Source organism: Homo sapiens, chromosome 5 (genome assembly GCF_000001405.40).
Source record: "Homo sapiens chromosome 5, GRCh38.p14 Primary Assembly".
NCBI classification, from domain to species: domain Eukaryota; kingdom Metazoa; phylum Chordata; class Mammalia; order Primates; family Hominidae; genus Homo; species Homo sapiens.
This window is the reverse complement of record NC_000005.10, coordinates 112,311,299-112,331,490: the sequence shown is the minus strand read 5'-3', so window position 1 is coordinate 112,331,490 and position 20,192 is coordinate 112,311,299. Positions and strand designations below refer to the sequence as shown.

Here is a 20,192-nt window from a genome sequence, read left to right as displayed (position 1 = left end):
ATACCCCAGGGAACACTCAGTTGGGGGATCCCTGAGGCTGTGTGCCCACTGTGTGTTATAAACAAGGAAAGCAGGAAGTGAATTTTGACCTCCAGTTTGGGGCCTTTTGTCTGGTATAGCATGGTCAACACTTCTCCACTGGTTTGTTTATATGTAAAACCAGCAGAACTGGGTAGTTGTAGGAGAGGACGGGTTGGAAGGTAATGTGTTGGAATGATAGCAGGGCACCAGTTCTGGACCGGGTTTTTGGCACAAATTGACCTTCACAACAAACCTGTGAGGAAGATGGAGTTGTCCCTCCATGCCCTCCATTAGAAGAGGAAGCTGGGCACAGAGAGTTAAGAAACTTTTCCAAATTTGTGTGAGTATTAAGAAGTGGGAACTGAGATTGGAACTCAGGCTTGCTTGACACAGAATCTGTGGCTTCCTTACCATTTTGGGTAAGGATTTTTAAGAAGAGAAAGGTAGCTCCTTCACATATTTAAAGATGACTTCTGTTACGGAAGATGGCCTGTTGACCTCAACAAGATACGTAAGGTCAGGAAATGGAAACAGTACTGAAGTTTACACAATGAAGAGTGCAGGCCCCTCCTCACCCTGTCCACACTCCATCCTCCTAACTGCTGTCTCCGAAGGTAATCACTCTTGATGATTTTTTTCTAAATCTATATGAAAATATGCATATTAACATATATTGATACACAGACCCAGAAGTATAATCCTTTTTTTTTTTTAAACCTATACCAAAGATAGAATAGAATACTCTGCACACTAGAGGCAGGATAGCACAGTTGCAAACATGGGTTCCACAGCCAGCTGGCCTGGGTTCAAATTCTGCGTCTTCTGCTTACCATGTTTAAGGCATTGGGCTAGTTACCCCCCATTCCTCAGTTTTCTCATCTGCAGTATGGATTCTTCTGATTGAATCTGATAATGTTAATAACTTGGAACAATGGCTGCTACTTAATAAATACAGGATGCATGCAAGCCACTGATACCCTGCATCCTGCTTTTTTAAAACTTAAGACAATGCGAGAGGTACATCAACCCTTATTTTTTCCCTTAAAAAAGAAATGAATTTAGCAAATTACCAAAATGTATCCTATTGTCATCTTTCAGTTCTGCAGAACCTGGTTAGTGCAAAACCGAGACACTGATTGTGTACAGGTTAGGCTAGCATTTTATGGTAAGAATGAGACCTTAACTATCCATATGGTGCTTTATACACAATACAACTCTAATCCCAGGGACTGCCCTGCAAATGAAATCCATGTCACTCTCTACAGGAAAAAGGGAGTGTGAATGGACCTGAGTACACCTAAGCCATTGTGGGGGAAATACTTTCAGCACCCCACCCCCTCTTCAGCTGAAGGTAGCAAGCCGTTCTTGCTACCATATACTTTAAAAGTATAAAGTATACTTTATACTTTTAAAGCCTCCAGATTCATTTTATTTGATCTTTCAAGCCAGTCTGTGGTGCAGTTGGGCAGATATTATTAATTTGTTTTGCAAATAAGGACATCCGGTTTGAAAGTGATTCAGCAGACTTGCCGACAGTCACATAGCCTTGTGGAGACCTGTAAGGATGCTTGGTAGAGTACCATAAAGCCTCTCTTTTTGATGTGGCAGATAACCCTGCGGGCCACCCACTGTGGGAATGGCTTGCTACCTTCAACTGAAGAGGGGGTGGGGTGCTGAAAGTATTTCCCCCACAATGGCTTAGGTGTACTCAGATCCATTCACACCCCCTTTTTCCTGTAGAGAGTGACATGGATTTCATTTGCAGGGCAGTCCCTGGGATTAGAGTTGTATTGTGGAGCCACTGAACAGATAAAATCAGAAAGGGTGTATGGTGCAGTAGTGCAGTGAAACGAGCCATGAACCGGAAGGCAGGAAATGTGGAGTCTCAGCATCTTCATTGTTTAAAATGATGACTTGGTATTAGATGTTGTCTAGGATTATAGATGAGGATTTAGGGCCAGAGAGATTAAGTGGCAGTTCCAGGTCACCCAGCTAGTTAATAGCAGAGCCAGGACTAAATAGGGAGGGTTTGTATTAAGAGAATTAGTAATGAGAGCTAGTAGTGTCCTTTCTCCAACTCAGGCAGCCAGCTATCAGCAGTTGTGTTCCTTTGGTAAGAAAAACTTCACTATGGTGCTCTTCAGTAAAATATGATAAGAACCAAATCTGTAATTTTAAAATTTTCAGCTAGTTGCATTTAAAAAGTAAAAAGGATGATTTTAATAACGTTTTATTTAATTCAATATATCTAAAATATTATTTCAACATGTAATCAATAAAAAATTAGCAATTTTGTTTTTATATGGTCTTCAAAATCCAGTGTGTATTTTATATTTATAGTACATCTCAATTTGGACCAGCTGCATTTCAAGGACTTAGCAGCCACACATGGCTAGTGGCTACCGTATCGGACTGCACAGCTCTCAGGTTAAGGGCTGGTTAAACACACACTGTTCAAGTTGCTTTGAAACATTTCACTGTGCATTTGCCACTATTTCACTGTACATTTTGGTTAAACCTTCTTAGAATGGAAAAACTATGAACTTTGGTTTAAGAATGATGCAAGAAAACCTGTTTTCAAAACTTGTGATTTAGGAGTTAGTGATTCACATAAGGTAATTCATTATGTAGACTTTAAATAATTCTTTTAGCACATTTGTGTTTCATTCTAATGTATCAACTAACCAAAAAATGCAAGGAATTGAGAAGTTTTACTAGAAGCTTTGTTATTTGAGTATTAAGTCCAGCCATTTCAGGAATAAAAGTGTCAACGTTAAAATCTGATTTGATTAAAACTTCTAGGTGCGTATTGATTACTTACAGAGGGTTAACCTGAATGGTGTTTTAAATCAGTGAGCTTGATGAAGAGTGAGCTGTCAGGAGAAATGGGTTCTAGCCTCCACTCTGGTTATTAATCAACTCTGGGGCAAGTTTCTTATGTTAGATCTATTTTATTATTTATATAGCAATATCCCAAATCACTTCATTTGTTAAAAATGAGTTTAGATATAACCATGGAAAAGTGGTTATCAGATATACATCCCTTCCTGTTCAAAAATACAGATCTTTATTTGTAATAATCTTTCTTTGGGAAAGCCAAGTGCAACTAGAATTATTTTAACTTCTCACATCTTTCTCCCCCAAGATTTTTTATTTTTTTTGTGTCGGAGTCTCGCCGTGTCACCAAGGCTGGAGTACAGTGGCACAATCTTGGCCTACTGTAACCTCTGCCCCCTGGGTTCAAGTGATTCTCCTGCTTCAGGTTCCAAAGTAGCTGGGACTACAGGTGTGTGCCACCACACTCGGCTAATTTTTTATATTTTTAGTAGAGATGGGGTTTCACTGTGTTAGCCAGGATGGTCTCGATCTCCTGACTTTGTGATCTGCCTGCCTTGGCCTCGCAAAGTGCTGGGATTACGAGCGTGAGCCACCGTGTCCGGCCTTCTCCCCCAATATTTTATAGCATCTTTTTAAAGGACTGTAATGCCCAAATATTAGAACAAAATGAAAAGGGATGAACAGAAACAAAATGAATTCATAGTGGAGGCAGCATGTAGTGAAAATGTATGGTAGAACTGCAGTGAACATGAAGAATGGTTTGACTGGACAACCAAACCCCATTGCTAATCCAGTTCTGCTTGCCCACTTCCCTCCCTCTCTCCCTTTCTGTTACTTGCGAGATGTTTACTGTAGGTGCAGTGCTTCTATTTGTAGCTAAAGTTTGTAGTTTATAATTCTTTTCTTTTTTTTTTGAGACAGGATCTCACTCTGTCACCCAAGCTGGAGTGCAATGGTGTGATCATAGCTCACTGCAGCCTCAAACTCTTGGGCTTTCAAATTATCTTCCCAACCCAGCCTCCAGAGTAGTTAGGGCTACAGTTGTATGTCACCATACCTGGCTAATTTTTAAATTTTTTGTAGAGATGGGATCTTGCAGTGTTGCCTAGGCTGGTCTTGAACTCCTTGCCTCAAGTGATTCTCCCACCTTTGTGTCCCAAAGTGCTGGGATTACAGGTGTGAGCCACTGCACCCAGTCTAAGTTGCAATTCTTACCACAAGAGAAACAGGTATGTCTTACTGAGTAGGTACAGGTAGTTTTGACATTGCTACATCCTTAAAGGTAGTTTTAGAGGATATTTATTTCTTAGAATCATTTAATTTAAACACGAGGAGCTTCTTCTTTATAGAAGTCTTGTTTGAGTATATAATGTCTTGAATTTTTTTTAACAAAGCCTTTTCTAATCATCCTAGTGAGAAATGTTGTTCATTATTTTGAGTCTTAATGTCTTGTCCAGGAAAGACCATGCACTTAGAAGGCCAGGGCTTATATCTGGGTTTTAGCTCTTGGCTTTTGCAACTCGCTCAGCTGAGTTTTCTCAGCCTTGTTTTCCCTATTTGTGAAATTGAGATTACTCTTGCCTTGTGGGGACACAATTGTAAGGTTTGTAAGATTTAGTACCTCAGTATTAAAGGTCTCTAGTATAGTCGTGAGGGTTAATTGAAGTGTTAAGTCTCTAGCACAGTGTGATTGGTAGGTGATCAGTGAATATTTTTTTAATGAATCCTGAGTTCAATTTGTTAAATGATTAAAGGATTCTGTGATGACTGTTATTGCTCTGCTGCCTATGAAGATTTGATTGAATGTAGAAGTTACATGGTGTAGATGTGTAAATGGCTATTAGTCATTTGATTGATTCTTAAAAGTAGAGACAAGCAGGGAAAGGAATAAAGGAAGTAGTAATGAAAACAGAAGACAGTGGGCGAGTTCAGGAGAGTACTGGCATTTTGCAGTGTGAACTGCCACACATAACATCCTTTTTAGGAGTGCCGAAGTAAGCAATGGTAAATGAAATAGCAGCGCACTGGAACAAGACACAGCAGAGGCATGATGAGTTGAGAGAGCTTACAAAGACAAAAGCCCATTGGTAGAACTTTTGTTCTAATAGCAATCTTTCCTTTTTATATTTTATAGAAATTTCAGATGGAAAAAAGTGTTTTTTACTAAAATTATTTTGAATTACTGCTTAGCCCATAATTCCTTAAGGGGGTTTGTTGCCTCTGCCATGAAACTGGGAGGGCCCAGTTTGACAAAAAGGCTCTGGTGAACTATTTGTGTGTTGTGGTTGTGTGTAGGTCTGGCAGTTATAACCCTGTGATGGAATTTCCTTCTGGATGCGGGGTTTGGCATGCCTTTGAGGTGGATTGGGGGCACCGACCCTCCACCTGATCCTGGGGATGTTAATGTTAGGAAAGAGAGGCAGTCAGTGGAAGATTTCGAATGGTTTGGTGTATAGTTTAATTTAAAAAAAATTTTTTTTAAGAGATGGAGTCTCACTGTGTCTCCCAGGCTGGAGTACAGTGGTATGATCATAGCTTACTCTAGCCTTGAACTCCTGGATTCAAGCAATCTTCCTGCCTCAGCCTCCCAAGTAGCTGGAAATACAGGTGTGTGCCACCCACTTGGCTAATTTTAAAAATTTATTTAGAGATGGGTCTTACAATGTTGCCCTAGCTGGTCTCAAACTCCTGGCCTCAAGCAATCCTCTCACCTTAGCCTCCTGAGTTGCTGTAGTTGGGATTGCAGGCATGAGCCACTGTGCCCGTCCTGTAGTTTTCTTAACATATTCATAGAATACCAGAGCTGGGGATGACCTTTACTGAGTTCAGTTATCCCATCTCACAAATGAAGAAACTGAGAAACTGAGTGGTTAAGCAGCCTGCCGAGGTTGCAAGTAGGGCTGGATGAAACCTACGTCCCCAACTCACCCTTCAGCTACCTCTGAACATTGGTCTGTGCTGTTCTTTGGCTTTGAAATGACCTCCTCATTACCTTTTCTTAAGACATTTTTGAAATTACTAAAGCATGATGTTAACAAGTTAAAAATAATACAGAGATGCATAAAGAAAAATAATAGCTTCTTACCACCCATTTAAAACTCTACTCTGCTTTTATAGCTAAAGTACTTTATGGGCATCACTTGAGTTCAACACACATTTATCTGACTCTCCCTTTTTTTTTTTTTTTTTATGAGACGGAGTCTCGCAGTGTCACCCAGGCTGGAGTGTAGTGGCGCTATCTCCGCTCACTGCAAGCTCCACCTCTTGGGTTCATGCCATTTTCCTGCCTCAGCCTCCCAAGTAGCTGGGACTACAGGCGTGTGCCACTACGCCCGGCTAATTTTTTGTATTTTTAGTAGAGACAGGGTTTCACCATGTTAGCCAGGATGGTCCTGATCTCCTGACCTCGTGATCTGCCCGCCTCAGCTTCCCAAAGTACTGGGATTACAGGCGTGAGCCACCGCGCCCGGCCCTGACTCTCTTTTTAATTGTGCGTAATTTCTCGCAGTTTGGATGACTACAGTTTATTCAACAATTCTTCTATTGATGGTCATCCAAATTAGGGGATTTTATTTTTACTACTAACAGCCATCCTTGTATGTATACCTGGCACTTTTATTTCCATAGAATAGATTCTTCCTAAGTGAGATAGCTAGTTACAAGTATGATGATAGCTACTGTTTCATTACTTTTCAAAAAGATTGTTGTAGCTCATCTACCACACATTTAGTATCATAAATACTTATTTATTTTATTCTTTTCATTTGTTTTTAATTTACTGTTTATTATACTTTATTATTATTTACTCTTTTGCTGCATGGTCAAATTTCTCTTCAATTCTCTGTCCCCTCCCCTTATTTTTTGTGACATCTTTGAGTCATACTGCTTTAATTTTTTTTTTTTTTTTTTTTAGACAGACTCTCACTCTGTCACCCAGGATGGAGTGCAGTGGTGTGATCTCGGCTCACTGCAACTTCCGCCCCTGGGTTCAAGTGATTCTCCTGCCTCAGCCTCCCGAGTCACTGGGACTACAGACGCGTTCCACCACGCCTGGCTAATTTTTGTATTTTTAGTAGAGATGGGGTTTCACCATGTTGGCCAGGCTAGTCTTGAACTCCTTACCTCGTGATCTGCCCGCCTCGGCCTCCAAAGTGTTAGGATTACAGGCACCATTTGTATTTTTAGTAGAGACAGGGTTTTACCATGTTGACCAGGCTGATCTCAAACTCCTGACCTCTGCTTTAGTTTTGTATCACTTCATCATTAACACAGAATTTCCTACCTTTTAAAAAATCCTACTGTGGTTACTTTCTCACTAGAAACTTTCAGAACAGCTGTAATTTAAAATTCTATATTGATTACAAAAATTAAAAATAAATATCCCCCCTTAGTTTTACTGAGATAGTTTAGAATTTTTCGTTCTCATCTGTTAAGTTTTCTCTTCCTGTATGTCTCTTCTCCTTAAAACAATAGTTAAATTGTAAATTCCTGCTTATGTTGGCCTCATTTAGATACACTGTGCCACTTTTCTCTCTCTTGATCTTTCATATCTTTAGAACTCTGTCTATTAGAGCATATCCTCAAAGATTTCTTTAGATTGGGTTCATTGGTTAAGTAGCTTCTAAGTTCTTGCATGTTGAAAAAAGGCCTTTTGCTTGCCCTGACAGGTGAACAACATCTTGGCTGGGAGTTTTCTCTCAGGAGTCAATGTTTAATTGTGCTCTAGTTTCCAGTGTTGCATTTGAGAAATCTAATGCTAATCTGGTTCTTTTTCCTCTATAAATCCACTGTTCAGTTTGTTTGACTATATAGTTTCCTTTTTATCTTTAGTCTGTGACTACTGATTCCCCAAAAAGGTTGCAGAATAACCTCTAAATAAAGCAAAACCCAGTTTATTGCTTACTGTGGTAAGGGAGACTGTTACACTGACCATTTCAGAGGAAGGAGGGCAAAGATGGGGAATTTATGAGACTTTTTAGGGTCTGGTTTAAGGTACGTTGTTCAACGCAGGGACATATAATTAGACAACGTTTTTGATAAAATAAGATTTGTGGGACTGAGTAGAGGGTATTTACTTAATAAGGAGTAGTTGAGTTGCCTGTTCACATAAATAAGTTTTTGGAAAGTTCTGTAAGAAACAGTAAAGTTATTTGTAACTTCATCTTCTTGGGTCAGAGTTCCCTTAAATAGTGAAGTCATGTTAATGTAGACAGTTGAGTAGTAAAGTCATGCTAGTATAGATAGTAAGATGTGTGGTTACAGATAATTTGGGTTCTCAGTTTAAATATTTTACCAAGCCTAGGCATGTGTCTTTTCTTATTGCTGCCTAAGCTTGCTGGGAGCCCTTTCAGTCTAGAGAATTATCCCTTCTTTCATCTCAGGGAGGTTTTCTTTTATTTTGTCCCTCCTTCCCTCTTCCCTCCTTTCCAGTTATGTCTTATTTGTTGTTGTCTGTCCTCCAGGAAAGCCTGTTATCTGCATGTTTTGTCTTCTGGTTACATCTTCCACATCTCTGATATTTTTACCTACAATGTTTGTTTGATCTTTCAGAACTCTGAATGGATTCTTGGCAACGACTATACTTTTTTCATCTTGTCTATTGAAACTTTAATTTCAGAAATCAAATAGCTTTAGAAAGCCTTTCTTGTCTTCTAATTGTATCTTCTTGAAAGTCCCCATTACCTTTCCCCCTTTACCTTCTTCTGTCTTTTTCATAGGCCCTATTTGTTCTGGTTATTCATCTTGGTCTCTCTCATTCAAGTTGCGGAGACCCCTTACATGGGTTGTTATTTTTCTTTGTCTTTGATGGGTTCCTATTTATCAGGCAGGCTAAGAGCACTCTGGAGCAGTGGCAAAACATCAAGTAGTGGAAGACAGGTGTGTGTGTGTGGGGTGTGTGTGTGAGTGTGTGTGTGTGTGTGTGTGTGTGTGTCTCATAGTGGATGGCTATAAGCCGTCAAACTGGGACCCATCAGCTGAGGTATGGGGAGGAGGCTTGGTTCTCAAGAGCAGTTTGGCTCACCGGCACAGTGACCTTTGAGGTCTGCTGGGGTCGGTAGGATTAGACAGTTCTTCCAAGCATCAACCCCAGTGCCTTCCTAAGTAGAACCGACTTAGATTTCTGGCTAGGGCACTTTAGGGAACTTTAAAATCTGTGGTTTACCCAGGTGGGTCCTTTAGCTCTGACACAGAGAATTTGAGAGTGCTCTCCTTAGTAGCAGTTTTGATAGAGCTTTGGCCTCATACTCAAACTTTAGTTCTCCCAGTAAAATATGAGTGCATGTTAGAGCACAGGTTCTAGAGCTAGTCTGGATTTTAATCCTGGCTCTGTATGCGTATTCTTGGCTAAGTTAGCCTATGGTTTCCAATGATCTTGTCTCTAAAATGAGGAAAATAATACCTTCTTCCTTGAATTGCTATCATGGTTAAATAAGTTTCACATTTATGAGAAGATGCAGTGCTATTATAACAGTGCCTGCCACACACAAATAGTATTTAGCTGTTATTCTTATCTCTAACTCAGGGGGCTGCTCTGAGAATTAAATGAGTTAGTACACGTAAAGTATAATATGTGCTGATAGATGTTATTGTTACTGGTTTTATTATTTTATCTGATTATGACTTATGTAATGTTGAACTATGACATAAAAATGTTAATGAAGCCTCCCTTTATCTTTTAAACTTAGAATTTCCCCCAGGTTAAAGAAATTTTTTCAAAAATTACACAGGTTTAAAGGTGGGAGGCTGAGTTATAAACAGTGTTTCTGCCACAGCCACATCATGGGGCTGCTTTGCCTGGCAAAAAGTAGTATGCACCATCTTCAGTTAGTATAGGTTAAATACACCTATGCATTGGAACTTTTGCAGCAAATTTTGGCATCTACTATGCTATTATTTGAACATTTACTATTATATTTTAAAAAGCCCTTTTTATTTGGGAAAAAAGTATTCTCTCAGTATTCTTTTGGTTGTGGTACATTAAGACCAGGGCAGAAATGCTCCCCAAATGAGTAACTTGAAGCAGAAGTTAGATGTCATAAACATTATTAAAATAGCTCAGCAACTGCCATGGTAATAAGCTATGCTGTTATTAATTTAGGAGAGAGCATTTTGCCAAATAATGTACATAATAATGCAGTATGTTTTTCCATCAAATAAAGCAGTATTAAGGCAGTTGCAGATTTGTGTGCCCTAAAAGAGCATCCCTCTGCTTTCCTGTGATTCCTGTGGGGAAATAAGTACCGGATTATGAAATGTCTTAAGGAATGCATCCTTTGCACAGAATGCTCACCTTGGTCATTGTGTTACTGCAGGAAAGGTGAGAAGAAAAGCAGGTCAGGAATATATCTTGCGAATGTCATTTTCTTGTGGCCTTTTCACTTCTACCCCAACCCCAATGCCCATTGGTCTTCCAGTCCTGATCTGGCAACATCTCTCCTCTTGTAGCTTCTCTGACTCTTGTCGTGTTCTCTCCTCTGTGATCCCAAGCTTTTAGAATTGCCTCTCCATCTAGCATCCTGATGTAAACCGGCTCATAATTATGAATTTCCTACATACTGTCATCTGACCAGGCAAGATATGAACACCCTGAAGTCTCGATGGCCTGTAATCTCACGACCCTTTCTTTCAACCTTTCAGGAAACTTGAAGTCATTTACTTTTGGCCCCTCACAGTGGGGGCGCCAACTCAGACACATTCATGGGTTGGGGAGTTCCCTTAAATGAATGAAGTAGCAGAGTTTTAGACCACAGGGAGTGGAAGACACCTGTAAGCTGGAGAGCCCATTTCCCACTTAGCAGGGAAGCTGCAGGGATGTTCCTGCTGATTTTTGCCATGTGCTTTGGGTTGCTGGAAGAGGCAGAATATAACATTTCCTGATCTTCCCATCACTACGTAGGCCACTGAATAAAAAGTGGGCTTCTGTTTGTGACCTCTGTCTTAAATACGTCAGTGGAAATAAATAATGAGAAAGTAGCTTGTTTTGTCCATACTCCCCTTCAACCTCTCTATCTCCAGAGCTTTTATCTCTCATGTGGGATAACTTAAGTTCCCAGGCTATTCTTGTAGAATCGGAAACAGGCTGTTAACAGGAGGACATAAGCCAATCCCCTGCCCCACTGTTACTGCAATTTTAAAGAATTACCCTTTTGTAGAACACTTTAGTGATAACAAAAGTAAGAATGGTTATAAATGTTAAAATGACTTCAGTGAAATGTTTCTTGGGTCACTTTAGAGGGCTTTTGTGTTAAGGGGGAAAGTTATAATGTATCATAAAACCCATACTTGCAGCAGAATCCTGGATTATGTTGTATGATGGAATGCAGATGACTGCTATAGAGTGGGTCACAGCCTTCTCCTTCCTCTTTTCTCACACAGCTTTCTTCCTTCACTGGTCTCTGAAAAAGGGATGAAAGGACTGAGAGAGTTGGGCAGGATGGAAAGAAGAGAGCAAGATGCAGGGTGACCAAGAGAGTTCTATTGGGTGGAAGAATGAGCAAGGCCCGGAACTTCTCAAGTGCCTTGAATAGGAGAGGATAAGTGATTTCATTTAACTTTTGAAATAATTTCAAGCTTAACAGAAGAGCTGTAATCATAATACAAACAACTCTTTAGATCCTTCACTCACAGATGCAGTTGCTTACGTTTTACCACATAGGCTTTATGATGATTTTTTTCTCTTATTGAACTACTTGTGAGTAAATTGAAAACACGAGACTGGTTACCCCTAAATGCTTTAATACATAATACCCCAAAAGGATCCTCTAGTACATCATCATGGCAGAACTATTCAACATCAGGGAAGGAGGCAAAGCACACTCATCTAATCCACGGACCCCAGGCAAATGTTGGTTGTCCTTTGAGCAAAATAATCCAATCTAGAATTATTTATTGCATTTTCTTATGTTTTAAAAGTCTCCTTCATTGTAGAACAGTTACTTGATACTTTGATAACCATACTATTTTTGAAGAGAATAGGCCAGGTATTTTGCACAATGTCCCTCAATTTCGGCTTGTCTGATGCTTCTTCATTATTAATTTCATCTTATCTATTTTTTAGCAGGAAAAACTTAGAAGTGATTCTGTATTTTTTGCTGTTGTTGGTTCATCCTTTCATGTGTAAATTCTATTCTGCCTTTGACCCTAATGTACTCATTTTAGCATCCACTGATGATTCTTGACCAAATCAGTTGTACTTAATGATGGTAGTTTTCTTATTCTGTCATTCCTTCTACATTTATTAGTTGGCATTTTATTGTAAGGACACATTTCTCTTCTTTTTATTTATTCACACATGTATTTATATTCACTTGGACTCATAGATTTTTCTCATAGGGGTTGTAATCTGACACTATCATTTTTTTTGTTGTTGTTCAGATTGTCCCAAATTTGATTAGCGAGAGTCCTGTCAAGCTGGCTCCTAGCTTTTGAAATGTTCTTTTGAAATGCCTCCATCATTATTTGAACACTGTTTCCATTTTTGGTGCAGTAAGTTATTTCAGGCCTTGTACTTTCCTGTCTCAGCCTTGGAATCAGTCTGTTTTCCAAGGAGTGGAGAATGATATTTAGAAACCAAAGATGTGGGTACCAGATGTGGTCATTGCTATTGAGGTGTTGTTGCTCTGTTTCCTATAACAAGCTAATGTGACAATACCTGGGGACGTGCTTCATGGTAACCCATAAACAAGGGTTGAAGGAAGGGTTACAGTATAGGGAGATTGAAGGGGAGTATGAAATAGCATTTAACTGGAAATTCTTGAGGTTTTTCTGTGTAACATACGTATGTTACCTATCTTGAAACAGGTAGGAAGACAGGAATTACTAATGTTTGGTATCTGCTTTAACTCTTCTTTGTGAGAGTCCATATTTCTGGGCTGAGAACATTTGAGTCTTAGTCTGGTTATCTGTGGTTGTGTAGCTCTGTAACAAACTACCCAACATTTAGTGGCTTGAAACAGCAGCTATTATATCTTATGACTTGTTGGTCAGGACAGTGAGCAAGGCTTGGCTGGGCAACTTCTCTCCATGTGATGTTGACTGTGAACACTCGTTGGTATTGATTAGGCAGTTGGAGTGATCTGGAGGGCCAAAAATGTGTTCATTCACAGGCCTGATGCCTTAGAAGGGCGTCTGAAAGGTTGGGCTTGAGTCCAACTTCTTATGTATTCTCAAGGTCTCTCCACATGGTTTCTCCAGCAGAGTAGTTAGACTTCTTTCATGGTGGCTCAGGGATCCTAGACAGTGATGAAACCAAAGAATATCCTTTAAATTAGTCTTGAAAATAGCTCTCTACTCTGGGAATTCTGATTTCTGTTGCCAAAGAATGCCATTACACATTATTTAATCTCTGACCTTCCTTGTGGACTGCTTTGTTTTTTTCTTTTGGTTTTATTTTGTTGCTGACAGGATTTTTGTGAACTCCTATCAAAATTGGTAGGAAAAAAAGAGAAGGCAAGTGCTTGGTTAGTGGCAATGATGCTGCATTGATTCTATTTCTAGATTTTTAGTTAGCCAGCCCTGTGACCTGTGGGCAAGTCACTCATCTCTCGGCTCTGAGTTTCCTCATCTATAAAATGAGGAAAGACTGGCTTTCCAGGTATCTAAGAATCAGAATTGCCTATTTTGCAATCTATGTCATCAAGGACATTCCTTTGTTTTTTAGTATAGTAGAGTAATTCTCAAGCTTTTCAGTCTTAGGAGCCCCTTACACTCTAAAATTATTGAGGACCTGGAAGAACTTTTGTTCATATGGGTTATCTCTGTATCTGTTTACCATTAAGTGGAGAGATTTTTGAAATCATCCAAAAAACCTATTTAAAAAATTACTTGTCAACAAAAATAGTTTTATATTTTTACAAAAAAGATGTATTGTCCAAAACATAACAATTTTAGAAGAATGACCTTGTTTTTACATTTTTGCAACTATGATATCTAGCTTAACAGAAAGTAGCTGGATTGTCATAGCTACTTTATGCATCATCTGTTGTGATATGCCCTGTGACCGCTAGAAAACTCTATGATTGTGAGAGAAGGGCAAATGAAAAATAACAAACTAATAACATTAGGAATATAGATCTGACTTCATGCACCATTGAAAGGGTCTCTAGGCCCTCCAGCCTTCAAGAATCACTGCTGTATTAGAAGGAGCTCAGGATTTTAAGTTAGATATTTCTGGGTTGGAGTCTCTGCCTTTTCCCTTTCTTTCTGTGTTACTCTAGCCAAACTGCTATTCTTTCCCAACCTTTTTGAGCTTATTTATAAAGCAGGAATAAAAAATGACAAGTTTGCATAGCTCTTGTAGAGATTAAATGAAACAAAGTACAAGAAATCATCTAGCATAGTTCTTTTTATATAGATGATCAAGATGATTTACTGTCATTCTTTCTTTTGCTCTAATTTGAAATATTACAGAGATGAGTGAAGAAAAACATAAAGCATATAACAAGTTTAGAGAGAAAAAAAAGATGTGGTAGGTTGTCAACAAAGATGGCCACCTGTGATTCTTCCAGTCGCTCACTATATGTTCATGTCATTCCTCCTATCAAGAGATGGGATCTGTTTTTGCTCCCTTTCCATGTGCACTGACTCAGTGACTTGCTTTGATCAATAGAGTGTAGCAAGACTGATGCTGTGCCAGATCTGGGCCTTCAGAAACTTGGCAGCTTCCCCTGTTTGTCTCTTGGAGCCCTAAGTCACCATGTCACGAAGTCAGATTACCTTGCTTAGAGGGTGAGTGGCCCAGCCAGCTTCCAGCCATTCCAGCCATCTCAGGTGAGGTGTCAATATGTGAATGAAGCCATCCTGGGTTCTTCAGCCCAGGTAGACCTCTCCAGCCAACACCAGATGGAGCTGATACCAGCTGTCTCTTCTGAGCCCTGGCTAAATTTTAGAATTATAGGCAACTTGTTGCTTTAAGCCACTGAGTTTTGAAGTTACTTGTTACAAAGCAATAGATAGCTGAGAAAAGCTTATCAGTGTGAAGAAACTTTTATATATGAAAAATATAAATATTAATTGCACCTAGAAAAATACATTTTACTCATTTTTTAATGATTAAATGAGGATTTTCCTCATCTGGAGGGTGAGGGTAACTCTTAGACATAAACAATGGGGGCCAGACAATGGGGGTGAACAGTGCCTCCCCTGGGAAGGAGTTACCTTTGGTACCTGAAGAATGTCTCCTCCGTGCGCCCACTTTGCCTTATCGTAATGGCCTAAGCTAAAAAAATTAATGTAATTTTAAGTTTTCCCAGAGAACTAGGAATGTATTGTGGTCAAAATACTAAATAAAGATAGAGTGAATTTTTAAAGGCATAACGTTATAAGAATTTTTTGCAGAGTTCATTTCCCCTTTGTGAAGGAGTAAGCTGTTTGTCTCAGATGTAATAGTTATCATTCTGTGAAGCTGGCAGGAACCTGCCTTTCTGGTTTGTAATGTCATGTTAATCTGCAAAGGTGTTATTACTCATTTGAAATATTCTTTGTTCTGGTTGAAAGCTCCATTGATGGTATTTTCAAATAAACTTGTCCTACTAGTGAGTCTTTCTCTACGATTATAAGCCTTTTGTAGCTCTATTCTTTCTGGAATGTTGCTAGTATGTCAGTAATGAAAGTAATCTATCTCATTTGCTAAGAGTTAAGTGGAATACAATTCACAATCCAGAAATATGTAATAGGCATTTACTCTCATTTTAAAAGTAAATTAATATATTGTTACATTGAGATGAAGTTTTGCTGATTAGTTATAAAAAATCAGGTGCTCCCTTTATTTTTATTTTCTTAACTGTCTCATATCAAGTCTTCTTTATTTTTTTGATGATGGAAAATCAAATTTCTGTCAGATTTTTTTTGCATAATCTTTATTTTTATTGCATAAAAATTTCTATGCAAGTTTTAGGTATAAAAATGTAATATATGGCTTCCTCAGTTTTTGGTGTTTTAGCCATTTTAAATATAAGATATTTATTCCTTATGCTACCTTTAGAATATATTGAGTCTATTGGAATTATATGTCACTGAAACAAATGTGTATTTTAAAGTTAAAAGTAAACTGAATCTCTGTGTATCAGGTGATATAACAAAATACATGGATCTGGTCAGCTTTTTCTTTAATTTCATAAGTCTGATTGGTCAAGAAAAATGGAAATCTTCATAAGAAACAGGAAGAAAGGTTCAATTTATAGACACCATGTTATTGGCCCTTGGTATTAATTCAGTGAACTTTTAGGCAGCTCTTACTGAGAATAAGTTATTGGACTGCATAGAAAGTAAGTGGTGTGTGATACTCAGCACATGCTTTCCAAATGTCTAAACATAAGTAGGAAAGTTAACAGAAGGAATAAATGGCCATCTTAAGAGTGCAAGAGTGTAAGTATCAGAGACAGGCAAAAATAAGAAACTTGGTAGGTTCAATGGAGGGAGAGGTCATAATGAGATTGAGAGGATTTGGACAGGCTTTATGAAGAAGGTGGCATTTTAACTGGATCTTGAAGGATAAGTAGGATTTTGACCATGACATAGAGCAGGAAAGATATCCCAGGGAGACCTCCTGAAACCTGAAATGGGAAGCATTTCTTTCAGGTTTCCAAATATCCCTCCCTGATATTTGGGGTGTTACCCAGTTCATTCTCTCAAATGTCTCATTAGTGGAGGTCCATTATTATCGAAGACAAAATTTTAATTTATTTATTGATTTCAGAAAGTCCTTGGGCATGTTATCATTGTACCTTATTTTGTGGCATCTTGTGAATTCCCCATTTTGGCAGAGGTTTCTTCTGGAAATGGTCAGAAGAAAACTGGAATGGCATTAATATCATTTGCATGTCTTTTTCTTTTTTTTTTGAGATGGAGTCTTGCTCCGTCACCCAGGCTGGAGTGCAGTATCGCAGTCTCGGCTCACTGCAACCTCCGCCTCCTGGCTTCAGGCAATTTTCCTGTCTCAGCCTCCCCAGGCGCGTGCCACTATGCCCAGCTAAGTTTTTGTATTTTTAATAGAGACAGGGTTTCACCATGTTAGCCAGGATGGTCTTAATCTCCTGACCTTGTAGTAGCTGGGACCACAGGCGCCTGCCATCATGCTTGGCTAATTTCTTTTCTTTTTTTTTTTTTTTTTTTTTTTTTTTTTTTTTAGTAGCGATGGGGTTTCACATTGTTGGTGAGGCAGGTGTCGAACTCCTGACCTCAGGTGATCCACCCGCCTCGACGTCCCAAATTGCTGGGATTACAGGCATGAGCCACCATGCCCGGCTGACTTCCATATCTTTTCTTTTGCAAAGTATTGAAAGAAGTAAGGTTAAGAATCAAGATTTCATTAAATTTCAAATGAAACTAGCCATCTGACTTAGAAATGAAGCCCCTTTTCAGCATGTTAAGGAATGGGGGTGCATAGCTTCCACATTGGTATATAATGGCCCGTAATAGTTTGGTCTACCTGTTCAAAAGGCTCAGGAATAATTCAGATTAGAAAGTTACACGGTGGCCAGGTGCGGTGGCTCATGCCTATAATCCCAGCACTTTGGGAGGCTGAGACGGGCAGATCACAAGGTCAGGAGATTGAGACCATCCTGGCTAACACGGTGAAACCCCGTCTACTAAAAATACAAATTAGCCGGGCATGGTGGTGGGCACCTGTAGTCCCAGCTACTTCGGAGGCTGAGGCAGGAGAATGGCGTGAACCCGGGAGGCGGAGCTTGCAGTGAGCGGAGATTGCGCCACTGCACTCCAGCCTAGGGGACACAGTGAGACTCCATCTCAAAAAAAAAAAAAAAAAAAAAAAGAAAGTTACCTTTTTTTGGAGCGGTTGGGGAGTATGAATTGTTTATATGTAAATATAGTATACAAATTAACAGCTCATCACTATATTCCTCTATGCATTCCTTACCTAACACTTCTCGGTGCATAAACCAAATTGACAAACAAACTGCCTCCACAGCAAAAAAAGGTAATGACTAATTTCTGCCTGGTTGCCTTTTCTTTTCAAGAATTGCAAGTTATATGTGTGCCTGGTTGCTAGTCCAAGGCACAAAAGGATTTTTTTGTTTTTTGAGATGGAATCTCGCTCTGTCGCCCAGGCTGCAGTGCAATGGCATGATCTCGGCTTACTGCAGCCTCCACCTCCCGGGTTCAAGCGATTCTTCTGCCTCAGCCTCCTGAGAAGCTGGGATTACAGGCGCGCGCCACTACGCCCAGCTAAGTTTTTGTATTTTTAGTAGAGACGGGGTTTCACCGTGTTAGCCAGGATGGTCTCAATCTCCTGACCTCATGATCCACCCGCCTCGGCCTCCCAAAGTGCTGGGATTACAGGCGTGAGCCACCGCGCCCACCCTACAAAAGGACTTTTGATGATAACCAAATCTCTCCCTGTCTCACTTTCTCAATAAAGTTTTTAGTCACTTTTTAGAAGTTTCTTAGTCGCTTCATAGCCCTAGGGCTTCTCAGGGATTCTAATAGGCTGGTCAAAGACTTCCCGCATCACATCACTTTGCATTATATTCTGGAATTCTGAAAGATAATCATCCTCCTTTCTTCTGGCATTTATTAGTGTACTTTTCCCATTTTCTAGAGAGTAAGCATTTGCTGGTATTAGGCAATAAATAAATAAATATTTCAATGAATGAAGTCATGTGTTTCATAATACCCTTTTTTCCTGTAATAAATCCTAGGACTGGCCCCTTCCTGGACAAATATACTTTAATTGCACTTTGGTTCTATGTCAGTTCTCTGTCAGTTCTTCATTTCTTTATTCAAAGATGATTTCTTCTGGACCTGAAGACTTTACACCTGAACTGCAAAATATTGGCCCATAGGTGGTCTCTACAAAGTACCCATAAGAAGAATGAAATTATCCATGTGTATAAGGGCAGGAGGCATAACAATGGAATACTGATTGGGCAAAGGGTTATTGGAAGAGGTCAGTTAGGGCAGAATGGACAGAAGTGTGAGCTGGTGATATGTACCTCCACCCCAATAGCTAATTTACCTCTGGCATCCATGCTCTCTAAGTCTTATCATATTACAGTATGACAGATGAAAAGTTAAGAGGTTTTCATGTGTGTATTTGCTTGAAGTAGTGACAGAAATACAGCATTTCTGAGACTCTCCTGGCCCTGCTCCAGGTGCCTGTGTAGACACACCTGCACTATACAGAAAGCTATAGAGGGAATCACGAGATGTCATATTTTTTTATGGTCAGCACTGGATTTGTTGCATAACACTGGATGCTTTCCTTGTGTCCTCTCGGTAGAGGGTAACAAAAGATGCTAAAGGATAATATTTGCAAAGCATTTGCAGCACCAGATTCTATATAAATGCAAAATTGTCACAAAAGATTGGCATGTTCTGGTAGTTTGGGAATGATCATTTTGGAAAATTTTCAAATTTGATGATTTCTTCCTCTGCATGAAAATTTTAGAGTTTCTGTATACTTTGTAAACTCCCGAGCTGGTTTTCTGAGCTTGCTTTTGTGTATAATCTTTGTGGGTAGAATATTAGATCCTTTTTATGCTTTATAAATCTATTATCTTTATTTGAAAACCCTAACATTTCTGCTGGACACAGAAGCACAAATATAGTTTGCATAAAGACAGATTTGATTTACATATTTTTAAAATCTGTACCTTCTCATTGTCATACGTAATTTCAGGCATAATTGTTTCCTCTTTGTTCACGAACCACTTCTTGTTTACCTGTTTGGGATAGAAGAATTAGGTAGAGTTGTGTGGCTCTACCTGCTCTAGTTATTCCATCTGTTTCTCTCTGTGCCTAGATGGGAGAAAGGACCCATAAGTGAGATTAGATCAAAATGGAAGACTATCTTCATATGCCAGCATTCCAGAAATATTTTGAAGTAAGAGGAAAGGTGTGTGTGCACTTTCTACAGTAACCTGGAAAGTAAGAAAGTTTGATCTAAAATTTTAGATCAAAGAGACAGAGTCTCACTCACTCTGTCGCCCAGGCTGGGGTGCAGCAGTGCGATCTGGTCTCAGTGGACCAGAAATGATAAGAAAAATTCCTGAAAGGCAAATGGGAAACAATTGGAGGTGTAAACCACAGCCCAAAACATGAGCAAAAGAACTACGAAAGGTTGTAGTGATGGACTGAGTATTCCAAGCTTAGTGGCTGTAGATAGATGGGAATCATAAAAAGCTCTGGGAAACCATTAGTGTGATATCTATAGAGCCTGTGAGATACTCAGTATCTTTTCAGTAAATTCTTTTCATAGTTACATTGGATAGAATTTATTTTAGGAATCCTTGCTTGATGTACTTACACCAAGGATGCACTTACAAAAAGGATAAGCTTTTTGTATTCATCATGATATTTTTAGTATACAGTTG

At 39.3% G+C, this 20,192-nt stretch overlaps 1 protein-coding gene across 15 annotated transcripts in view, besides 1 other annotated feature; it reads left to right on the top strand.

Moving 5' to 3' along the window:
• The window catches only part of EPB41L4A (erythrocyte membrane protein band 4.1 like 4A), a 278,107-nt gene that overhangs the window by 88,445 nt on the left and 169,470 nt on the right, over window positions 1-20,192 (top strand). The window lies entirely within an intron of this gene.
• Window positions 1,363-1,893: an enhancer, noted in NCBI's record as "NANOG hESC enhancer chr5:111665295-111665825 (GRCh37/hg19 assembly coordinates)". NCBI's record gives its function as "activates a minimal SCP1, AML or CMV promoter by ChIP-STARR-seq in primed H9 embryonic stem cells {active_cell/tissue: H9 hESC(primed)}" and the evidence as "EXISTENCE:reporter gene assay evidence [ECO:0000049][PMID:30033119]".